The following is a 12459-nucleotide window of genomic DNA, read 5'->3' on the forward strand; positions in this document are numbered from 1 at the left end:
TTGTTGGCTGGCACCTAAGCATCCATCTCTTGAAGACTCCAGCCCAATTTAGAACCCCCACTGGCAATGTTACTGACATATGGTTTATGAACATTTCAAGGGTTGAGAAACTACTTTCTTCCAAGAGCAGACTATGCCATTCAGCACTGCTAAGTAGCTCTACAGGTACTAGGAGGCCACAGGTTAGGAAAAGCCGAGTGCTGCCTTGCTATAATTCCTTTGCATGCTCTTTGGAGACATCTACAGGTCTCCGTGGCTACCCCTCAGACAAACTGAAACACGCTTGACCTACCCCAACCCTAGGGCTTCCCTTTTCAAAGTTGATTATCTAGATCAGGGCTTCAAATCTTCCCCAATCCTGGGAACCCTCCCCTGAGCAAGCTCCAGTTGTGTACTGAGCTTTCCCACAAACATGTCATACTTCTGTCCCTAATATACAATAATCAAGACGTGACTATGTGCCCCGGAGAATCCTAAAGGGGCTCTTCCATCCTGGGGAGTCATGAAGAGAGGAGAAAGTCTGGACTCTGCTGCGGATGGTTGGCTGGAGCTGGACTAGAGCATGAGGTCTAATGCCCCAGGAAGAGGCAGCTCTGGGACCTCTAGTGGTCACTGTCTGTCTCTAACACACACATGCACACGTAAGCACATGCAAACACAAACACTTACACACCAGTTGGGGTAGAGTCAGTGGGAAACACTGAACTGAATTTGTTCTCCTTTTTCATCCTCTCTCTGGTGAAGCATCACCAGCAACTGCCCATCTGCCCCATCTAGGGCCTTTTGGCTGGAGAGAGGCAGCATTTGAGTTCTGTGTGAAGCTCTAGTGTGTCCTCTCTGCTCTTGGGTTTCTACTTTCTCAGTTACAGAAGTTACAAGTTTGTTCCCCACTAGCAGTTAGGATTAACTCCTGCAGGACAAGTATTTTACCGTCTCCAGCTTTTATTTTGTTCTCAGCTCTATCACAATTCACAGTGTGATTTGGGACAAATTGTTTGCCCCTGTAAAGTGAGGAGGTTGGATAAGGCAACCACTAAATTCCTTCCTGTTTTTATAGGAACGTTTCACCCTGCAGGACAACGAGCCAGAGCCTTGCATACCAGGGGCAGGCATTAGACCACACCCGCTTTGACTGTTAGACTCATCTGCAGTGCTTGTGCCACTAGTGAGATGCGCCTAATGGGGGAGTTCATCCCCCACCTCACCCTGGTGTAAGTAGTTTACTGGATGGGAATTTGGGCTCCTAGAAGTCTTCATCTTACTATTTATGTACCACCTCTGAATTGAACAGGTGTTATAAAAGGGTAAACTGATGCTAAAAGCTACCTCAAGAAGATGCCTGGAGCAGGGTTCAAGATCAATCTAGCTTTTAGTCTCAGCCATAAACCATCTGAGCTTTGGGTAAGTCACTTGACCACCAGGCCGGTTTCCTCATTATGACAGAATGGAATTCTGAATTCCCTTTCTGTTGTAATAGTCTGATTGCACAATTTTCCATTAGAGAAGTTTCATACCTGTTAGATCTCCTGCTGCCAGGAACTAACCTCCTGGGAGACAGGTCTTATCGTCATCCAGGCATATAGGAGGGTGTTGGGAAAACACTTGTAGTGGATGCTGGATTGTGCCATTCAGAGCCAGCTCCCTTTGCTATTGAAGAACTTATTTCCCTACATGTCAGGACTTCTGCTGGCTGATGGCCCCCAGCTGTGAGCTCTTTCAGGCATCACCTTTGGCTGCAAAAGGCTCCCTCTCCTGAAGTTACTACCTGCATCCCTGGAGGCAGACTTCATCTCATGTCTTCATCCAAAGTTTGAACAAATTGGCTAAGAAGGTGCTAGACATGTAAAGGGACTATTTTTTTTCTTAATTCAAATGTAGGAGGAGTATGGATCTCCAGGAACCAGAAGAGCTGCATACATATGTGAGTGGATTCTGAAAGTGCTGAAGTGAGGGGGATGCAACATTAAGTTGGATGAGGGAGGATTTGTTAATATGAATGCACTCGTCTGTGATACAGAATTTAACAACCTGGCAAGACCCCCAGGAGAGGGTTCTAACATGTTGTTAGGATGGCTCTGAAAAGCATGAAGAAACTGATGGCTCAAATCATGTAAGGCAGAAATACCAGAATTGCTATGGCAGAGGGTGGATCAAAAGTCTCAGAAAAATGAGCATGTAAGAATACTATGTACTATTTAATGTGGAAAGTCCACCATGTGGTTATATTTAGTGAGAGGACACAGAAGATGCTCTGTTTCTCAAAGCAATATGAGATACATCAAAAAAAAAATAAAAAGGGCACCAGCATCTCCCAGAACCTATTGGTGGCTGTCCCTAATAAAGAACTAGTTTCACTAACAGTAATAGTATCATAAGATCCCCCGAATAATAAAAGTAGGGTGGTAGTGCTTAACAATCAGAAGGAAAAGAGGTGAAACTATGGTAATGAGGTAAGGTCAGAGTGGTAAATGAATGCTGTGTCCCAAATAGGTAGAATACATGAGTCTGGGAAACAAGAGGTAAAAGAAGAAATGGCCCATTTCATCATCATTCCCAGAAAACTACTTGTTGGAATTGGAATTAGGGCTTTCTGCTCCCACAACTCTGGGCTCTGTGGATTTAGAAAATTAGGTCTTGATTTCCAAAGGAGATGTGCTTGTACCAGTGGACTTGACAAGAGTTCCATTGAACATTGAGTTTCAGCTGCTACCAGGCATTGTGGGCTCTTTGTACAAAGGGAGTAGGCAAGGAAAGGAGTTGCCATCAAGTCAGGGGCAAGTGACCTTGATAATCAGGAGAAGGTAAGGCTACTGTTTTATAATGAGGATAGGGAAAATACTTTTTCCACCCCTTTGCCTAACTTTAATGGTAAATGGACAAAGATGGCAGCCATGGCCTGAGAAAGGCATGATGTCCAGAGGCTCAGACTCCTCAGAGAGGAGGGCCTGGATCATGCCACTTAGGTAGCAGAAGTGCTGATGGAGGGTAAGGCAATTGAGAATGGGTAATAGGGATGGAGATGATTAGTATCAGTTGAGGCCTTGAGACCAGCTGTAGCAGCAGAAGCTGTAATTTGACCGACTATTGTTTCTATTATAAGTTTACCCAGGAAAAGAAGGCCCCCATGAATCCTGGAGGAGCTGATATTGGAACTTTTATAAAAGGACTCTAGGTGGCACAAGAGTAGATTATAGTAGACCTAAGATTGTGCTGCCCTGATCTTCCCCTTAAGGCAAGCTTATGGCTTACACCTTACAGCTCACAGCTATCTGCCCTTTCCAGGAATTGCCCTTGGCTGTGAAGAGCCCCCTTCCCACAATCAGTCTTCCTCAAAGGCCAGTCATTGCAGAGACATAAAGCCCAACTGCAGACAATTCTGGAAGAGCATTCCAGCTCCAGATTTCCCTGTGGGGTCAGCTGAGACTGTTGTGATTGCACTGAAGATCAACAGTGCAAGATGTTCCTCTCCCCAGAGCTGTTTGCCTTTCTTTCCCTCTAGATATTAATCCTGAGAGCACTGCCCAAGACACTTCCTGTAGGCTACTCTGTATCTCAGAGCCCACTCTCTGTCGACCCTGACTTACAGGAGTACTTTTAAAATATTGAGCTTGATACAAGAATTATTATCATCATAAGAAGGATTATTTATATATTAGGTGCTCAATAAATATATGTTGAAGCAGTGATGAATGTCATTGCAGGACATTTTAATATGCTCATTGCTATAATCTCCTTAATGGAGTATTCATTTAACATGTCAAGCTCTGATATTAAACAGAATCGTATAAATCCTGTCAGAAAGAAAAAAAGCCTTCCTTTGAAAAGCTCAGCATGAGGTATTGTATCTTTTAATGGATCTCCTTTGGACTGTTCTATATTCACTTGCCCAGCAATCCTTGACTATGGGCCTATCCTGCACCTTTTTCTGGAGTAACCAGGGGAAAAGTTATGTAAATTGTGTACGTTTTAAAAGTTTGATCAAACCAACTCTGACTAGATTAGAGGTCAGCAAACTTTTTATTTAAAGATGCAGACAGTAAATATTTTGTGCTTCAGGGGCCACATGGTCTCTGTTGTAATTATTCAACTCTGCCATGATAGGGTGAAAGTTACCGTACATAATATGTAAATAAAAGAGAGTTACTGTATTCTAATAAAATGTAACTTACAATAATAGGTGTTAGGTTACATTTGGCCTGCAGGTGATATTTTGCCATTCACTAACCTATATAATATACAGAACATAAGAAATGAGATGGCTACTTGTCCTCCTTGGCCTGGAATTAGCTACCCTCTGTGTCATGTCCCTGGTATCACAAATTGGCTAGTCTTCTCAATCAACAAATATGTATTCAACCTACAGTTCCTAGGTATATAAAGGTAAACAAACATGATCCATGGCTGTTAGGGGCTAATACAGAAGCAGAGGTGAGTCATGGTGGTACAGTTCCTTAAATATTCCAAAGGATCCATGAAGAACAGAGTTCAATGAAGACCCAGAAGAAGGGGTGACAGATTCTTCTTGCAGATTCTTTGAAAGTCATGAAATAGCATGGTGTGTCCATGGGCCCTGCACACTTGCAGGTTTGGTGACAAGGTGGGGGGTCTGTGATAAGAGACCCAGCTGGAGGGGTAACAAAAGATCAGAGCCATGGGCTTTATCCTCGATGCAATGGGAACAATTGAAGGGTTTTAATCAGAGAACTAGCATGGTGAGATTTGTGTTTTATAAAGGTTCCTCTGAAAGCAGATTGCTGGATGATTGGACGGGATCGGCAAAGTGACCATAGTAAAACCATAGCACTTATCATTTTCTGATGTTACAGGCAACCGACTTTTAAATTAAGTTTATTGTTTATTTCTATTTGTCCTTGCTGGAGGGCAAACACCAGGAAGGCATAGACTCATTTTGAGTTCCCCACTGCTGTTTTTCAAGGGCCTGTAACAGTACTGGGCAATAGTAGGCACTTAATATGTACTTGTTGAGTGAATATAATTAGTAAATTAAAGGTTTCTTTTTTTTTTTCCTCTAATATATATTTTTAGAGACAGGGTCTCACTATGTTGCCCAGGCTGGCCTCGAACTCCTGGGCTCAAGCAATTCTCCACTTTAGCCTCTCAAGTAGTTGAGACTACAGGAGTATGCTTCTGTGCCCAGCAGTTTCTCTTCTTGTGGTAAGAAAGATGGTAATGTAATTCCAGTTTCAGTTTTATCAAAAGGCTGGAAGCAGAAAATATCTTCAGAAAATCAATTCACAAATATTTGGACTACAAGAAAGGCTATGGAAGATCCAAAATGACATAGATTAGCACAAGCAAAGATTCAAACTGAGAAACATTACCAGTTTCACAAAGGGCAGCTCCCAAGAGCAATCCGTAAAGAAAGAACTCTAGGCTAGGAATATGGAAATCTGGTTTTTATTTCAACCCTGCCACTTATTTACTATGTGAACGTGGCCATGCATCTTCTTACTCTAGCTCCCTATGGAATGAGACTGCTTCTTACTTATCTCAGCCTAGCTCAGAGGGTCTAGCCCATAGTAGATGCTCAGCACACTTGTGTTAAGTGCCAGCTACAGTAGGAGTTAGGAGTGGACTCCTCATGGCTCATAAAGTTGAAAAGGCAAGGCTCAGAGGATGGAAGGTAAACCCAATAGGAGTAAACCATCTCCTTTCACCTTCAGGCTATCCCATAAGCATGATTTCTTGTGTTTATTACCACTCCTCAAACACTTATCATGTTGGGCACTGTAGATATAAAGGTGATTTAGACAAGGACTCTGCCCGAAGGAACTCATGGTATCCAGGGGAAAGGGAAGCGCAGCCAATTACAACACAATATGACAAATGTATGCTGTTGTGGAAGCCTTGACATGATGCTATGGGAGCACCAACTCTGTATGTTTCTCAACCTGCATTGAATTTTTAGACTAGGTCTGGCAAGTTGGTGGGTTTAGTGCATCAGAAATCACTCCTTTGGAAGAATAAGGCATCTGGTGGGAGAGCTCATTCTGAGGGAAGGATGATGAAGGAAGAATATGGTGAAGTTGGTCCTACTAAGAAAACCTTAGTTGGTCCTACTAAGAAAACCTTAGCCATGGAAGGATAATTCTGAGTACGGTCTGGTATCTGCCACTAAAGGGTGAATGGAAGAGATGGAAGGGGGAAGTACAAACTGGACTAGATACTCCACTTAAACATGTATGAATTGCTGGGGGCAGGCACATGGCTGAGGCACTCTCCACTAGTGTAGTGCTGGAGCTGGCTCCTATCTGCTCTCCAGAGCTGACTGTATGCATCGCTCTCCAGTGACACCACCATGGTAGCTTGAAATCAGCCATGGTGCGAATATTTACACCATGGAATTTGGCAAGTCCTATAAATCAGGACTGTTTTGTCCTATGGAGAGCTGCTGATTTAACATTTGCCAGCATACTACTGTTGGAATATAATCAACAGGCTGAAAGAGAAAAGATCTTATCTCCCAAGCCATTCTAGACCACAGTACAATTGGGCATGGTGAAGTTCCAATGCAAGTGTTCTGAAAATGTGCATTGCAGAACACTCGTCTTGCATAGTTTATGTGCTTCTTGGAGTTTATACTACATACTAGCATATTAAAAGCTCTGTGGAAGTTGCATAAAGAAATCTGCTTAATTTTGTTTAATTTAGATCAGTGCTTCTCAGACTTCAGTGTGTATATGATTCACTTGGGGATTTTGTTAACATTCAAGTCTGGGGTGAGACTTGAGTTTCTGCGTTTTTAAGAAGCTACCAAGTGATGCTGATACTGCTGGTTCAAGGACCATACTTTGAGAAGCAACAATGTAGTGTTCCTTATTTAATCATGGAATCTAGCATGTTCTTGTTAATCTATGAAACACATGTTGGCATTCTGCAGAACTCTTATCCTTGGAGTACACTTTGGAAACATTTATAAAATAAGCACATGGTGGTATATGGGGTTGTGGGAGGTATAGACAGGGCCTGATGGAGATTACAGTGTCCTCAGAGCAGGGTGGAAGCTCTGGGGGCCACAGGAGTAATAATTGGCCCTGGGGAGACCCCAGTTTTCAGAGAGAAAGCAATGGAGCTTGGTAGCTTGGTAGAAAACACTGCCAAGACAGACATAGAGATGGAGTTCCCCTTGGGAACAGACCTATCCAAGGGCATATGTGAGCCATAGTGAGACACGGCATGGGAAGCTTCCAGAAAGTCTTGGTGGGAATGCTTGACACGGAGCTGAGCTTCTGCATCATGTAGATGGTGGTATGAGCAAACAAAATATTACACATTACTGTGAATATTACCTAGTTTCTGCCCATAGCGTGGTGAAGGCAGGCCAAAATGAATACATTCTCTCAAAAAGAATTGCCAACAGTTTATAAGAGGTGACAAGTTATCTTGGAAGATGAGTAGAACTCCATTAATCAAAGGTGGATATGAACCTGGGAAGGAGAAGGCCAGGAAGGGGTGGTGTATGTGGTACAGGGAATGTATTTTCATTTCAAGTATCAGAGAAGGCAAAGTATGCAGGGGACAGGCCAGATGGGGCAGAGCTGGGTCTCATGTACAAGCTCTTTCTTCTACCTAGTGCCTGACTCCTGTGGAAGCAGAGGCAGGTGCTGTCTGGAGCACAGCGGGGAGCTTCGCATTCGCAGAGGGCCAGGCACCTGCATGAGAGGAACGCTAAGGGGATGGGGTTGTAGGGAAGGCTATAGGAGGAAAAATTGATTCCTAAGAAAATAAACTTTTCGAAAGAAATCACCTGAAGAGTCAGGGGACTGAAATATATTTAATGATTTGACATCTTAGTTTGGCCTTATTGCTACAGACAAAATTGCCTTTCCAAGGGAGACTCACCAGTATAATAAAACTAGAGGCAGTAGAAAGGCTTTCATTGGTTTCACATGGAACATGCTATACTTTAGGCCCAACAATTCAGCGACAGCACCATCAGCCCAGATGGGGGTTGTGAGCAAAGTCCGAGATGGTCAGAAGGAAACGAGAACCTGGGAGGTGGCGAGTGTCCACTGCTCTAGTCTCAGGACAGCCTGCTCTGTTAAAGCACCTGGTCCTTCTTCCTGAAGACTTCAGTCCCACCTTGCATTATGTTTTGTTCTGTGTATGTGCGTGTCTATCTCTCCTGCTAACTGCTGAGCTTGCTAAGGAAAGGAACCTTGTTTTATGAAATAAATGATATTTATGAGCTCCTGTGCTATGGTCTGAACATTTGTGTCTCTCCAAAATTTGTATGTTGAAACCTAATCCCTCATGAGATGGTATTAGGAGATAAGGCCTTTGGGAGGAGATTAGGTGATGAAGGCAGAGCCCTCATTAATGAGATTAGTGCCCTTATAAAACAGACCCCAGGGAGTTGCCTCCTCCCTTTGGCCATGTGAGGACATATTGAGAAGAAGGCTAACTATGAACTAGGAAATGGACCCTCACCAGAAGTGTCTGATCTTGAACTTCCCAGCCTCCAGAACGTTGAGCAATAAATGTTTGTTGTTTATTAGCCACCTAGTTCATGGTATTCTGTTATAGCAGCCTGAATGGACTAAAACATTCTGTTATAGCAGCCTGAATGGACTAAAACAATCTGAGATTTCAAAAATGTTATCTCCTTCACTTCTCACAGCAGCTTGTCAAGGTAAGTATGATGTTCCCAAATTTACAGGAAAGGAAACCAAGTTTCAGAAAAAATAAGAGGCTTGTGAAAGTCCTATAGGAAGGAGCTCTAGCTCCCAGTTCAGTGCTTGTCTGCAATACGATAGCTTTCCCTTGTTCAGCTCTGTATTCCCCACAGAGCTTCATGCAGACACACAGTAGGCTTGTAAGACATGACCCAGTGAGCAATATTATATCTGTTCATCCTTCATCCAGAAATTGTTTCAGAATTTATACCTAATGACTAGAGGGATATTGAGGAAAAAGATATTGCAAACTCAGAATCTTCACAATGAATTTTACAATTTGGATTTTTACCAATTATATGTAGCTTTTACAATTACAGGTCATTCTTTCAACAACTATTTCACCAGGGTTTCACTGATAGACATGGTCTCTGCCCACAATCTAATAGCATCGAGGATCACATAACAAGCCTTGGGCATTGAGCTTAACATCTGTTTCCATTTCAAAGTCTCACCCACAATTTATCATCTGCCTCTCTGTCCATGTGAAATAAAGTCTATACTTGTATCCTCTAAATCAAAATAAGCCTTAAAGCACAGGTACCACTTGAGTTTCTTCATTTATCTGTGGTCAGTTTTATTTGACCTCTTTATCTTGATGAGCTTAAGGCTGTAGATTTTGGGGCAAAGGGATCGTGCCTTTGGTGAAAGCCCAGAGCAATGTGCTTTTAATAATGAGCAGCTAAGAGAGTGGGTGGAAACAGATTAGACTCCGAGATTAAAGGGGTGAGTACTGCCAGAGTAAGCACGGGATCAACACAGGTGGCTGATCGCTCTGGCAGTGTGGAGGAGGGATAACTGCCTTAATCCAGGCAGAACCAGGACATCTTCACAGAAAAGACATTATCTACATTAAGACCTAAAGATCAAGTAGGAATGGATAGGCAGAAGTAGGAATGTATGCAAAAATCCAGAGAGAACAGACATCATGGTGAGGAGGCAAGTGGTTCAGGACGATTGGACCTGAGAGTCTGATGGGAGGAAGTGGCAGGAAAACACCATGCTGAGCTGATGGATTTAATAGAGTGAGCAATGGAGAGTCAATGTTGGGTTAGACAGGGAAGTGGCCTGATCAGACTTTTATTTTAGAAATATTACTCTGGCTGTGATGTGGAAATTGGTTTGTAGTTAGAGCAATTACGAGGGGGCAGGGTGACTAGAGAGGAAGCTGCTGCAGTTGTCCAGGTGAAAGATTATTGTGCTAAACTGAGCAGAGGCAGTGGAGATGGCAGAGAATGGGCAGATTTGATAGCTATTTGGAAGGTGTTAGCAGTAGAATTTGGTGAATAATTGGTTGTAGGGATAGAGACATGGTCAAAGATGACTCAATGCTGGCTGGCTTGAATCACAAAGAACCCAAGGTGACGTCATTCCCTGAGAGGGGGAAGGTAGGGGGAAGAGGAGAGTTTTCGTTTTATCTTATACTGCTTGGGAATGGAGAATGAAGAGGGAAAGTTCATTTTTATAGGAACTGAGGTGTCTGTGGGAGAGCCAACATGCAGAAGGTAGCTGGATATACAGGTCTCAGGATCAAAGGGAGAAGAGAGAGCTCCAAAAATAGGTCCAAGAACAGACCATAAACATTTCTAGGACAGACTTAGCTCAATGAGCCCTTGAAGGAAGCTGAGAAAGAGAGGTCAGAAGGAGAGGAGGGAGTCCAGGGGGCCATGGCAGCCGTAGGGCCAAGAGGAGAGGGCAATTCAGGAAGGACGGGTCTGCAGGCAGTGTCAAGTGTTTCACCAACCCATGCACTTCTTCCCTGTCTTGGGGCTTTTTCACTTCATTGGCGTTGCTCAATTCTGTGGCTGAGGGAGGTTACAGGGAGCAGGCACTGAGAATGATCTCAACCTCCCTGGGACAACTGTCATACCTGGTGATACAGGCGTGACATTTTTTGAAGTACCTATGATCAACATTTTACCGCAAACTCAAGATGCCTGGGCCAGGGAAAGACCAGGGGTGAAGGGACAACTGGAAATGTGTCATCTATTGTATTTATTCCTTGACTGATTAAAACATGTTGATAGAGCACCTATTGTATTTCAGGATCCGCTAGGCTGTAGGCTGCAGTGATAAATGAAGTATAGTCCTTGTTATTATGGGGGAAGAAACAGGTTTGTGTTCCAAGTTTACAGAGGTTGATAGCAATTATTTAAATAATTATATTAATTCTATCTGTTGGAAAGAATACAGAGGAGAAGTATCAGGTACCATGTAACCATGGAACAGAGGGTTGAAAGTGATTTAGAAGATCAGGGAAGATCTCCATGAAGAAGGAAAATTGAATAAGTGCAAATTGAAAGATGAGTAGGTCATGGAGTGCATGCTAACTTGTCAAAGAAGGGGGAACAGGGTTTAGACGGAAGGAACAGCCTGACTGAAATATCTTACACAGGAGGAAGCCTGGCATACAGGAAATGAAAGCAGCTTCATGTGTTTGGAGCAGAGAATGCTGAGACAGAAAGATGTAAGGGGAGCTGAGGAGGACGGCAGGAGCTAGACTTGGCAGGACGTGGCCGGGTTTATTGGGCAGGTTAATAATTTGGGGAGGATTTAAGCTGGGGAGTGCTGTGATCAGAGTTGCATGAGAAAATTCACTGTGGCTGCAGGATGAAAAATGGACTGAGGTGAGCTCGCATGGATACAGGGAATCCATGTGTGAGTGGCTTTGAACACCTAAGTTGTGCAGCTTTTATTGAGTATCTACTGATTATAGCAACTGTTGGATGAGTTGAAGAGTATGCAGGACATATGGGTTGGACAGTAAATGTGGGAGAGGTATATGTTATTTAAGAGCCTGAAATCTTTTTTGGAGCTAAAGTCATGAACCACCTAGCGAGGAAAAAGCACAGGCTGAAAATAAAATTGAGAGCTGAGTGTGATGAGTCAGAGGGTTCCAGTCAGGAGGGACCAGTGTGGCCTGGAGGAGTGAAAGAAAGAATTCTAAGTGGCAAATAGAGAGGTTGGCCTCTTGCATGAATTCCCAAGGTGGAGAGCATGAGTGATGGGGCTTCCAGAGGGGTCCATGGTGAAGAGCAGGAAGAGCACATTCTTTCTTGGAACAGGACATTGCAGGTCTCTTTTCCCAACCACTGGAGGTGACTCCCCTGTCCACACAAAATTCTGGAATCGTCAGGCTTGCTTGATTATGTATTAATTTATGCATTTATTTATTTATTTGAAAATGGACATCTCTGAGGAAGTTTTCTTCTCCTTCCTATCATTTCCCAGCAGAACAATCAGCTTTGCAAAGCTTCAGATTTTATGGCTGATCATGTTTCTTTCCTCCCTGGAAAAGAACTGGAAAAAACATTTGCATGTTTTTATGAGTCTTATTACATAGCTTTATGACTTGTACATGTAATAATAGCAAGCCAGACGTTCATGGTATGCGTCTCCAGAGAAGTCATCATTTGAACATAAAAATGTAAATCCATTTGGAAAAACACAGACCAGTTATTGAAAGTGAAGCCTGCAGACCATGTGCCCCTGGTGATTGATTAGCAAAAGCCCAGGGACACACATCCTTAGCTCGGACAGACTCTGCAGACCATCTGGAAACAGATGATGCTTAATAATGCAGAATAATAAAATCAGCTAAGTTCCCATTTACAAATGAAATAAATTGAAGAATGAGTGATTACACTGATCTAAAGTGCATGAAAATATTTTCTGCAAATTGGGGGCAGGACTGGGGCTGGAGGCTGAGGAGTGGGGAAAGATGGTCAAAGATTCCTGTGCCCATTTTGTGAATCCTAGATGA

General features: G+C 43.2%; 1 long non-coding RNA gene across 1 annotated transcript; it reads left to right on the plus strand.

The window, feature by feature from the left end:
- The first annotated feature begins 1499 nt into the window (after nucleotides 1-1499).
- LOC100507562 (uncharacterized) lies at nucleotides 1500-8217 on the plus strand. The gene is made up of 2 exons (NR_188506.1): nucleotides 1500-1921; nucleotides 7932-8217. It is a non-coding gene; the product is annotated as an uncharacterized LOC100507562 (long non-coding RNA).
- Nucleotides 8218-12459: the final 4242 nt, after the last annotated feature.

The sequence above is a fragment of the Homo sapiens genome, chromosome 2, assembly GCF_000001405.40.
Source record: "Homo sapiens chromosome 2, GRCh38.p14 Primary Assembly".
Classification (NCBI taxonomy): domain Eukaryota; kingdom Metazoa; phylum Chordata; class Mammalia; order Primates; family Hominidae; genus Homo; species Homo sapiens.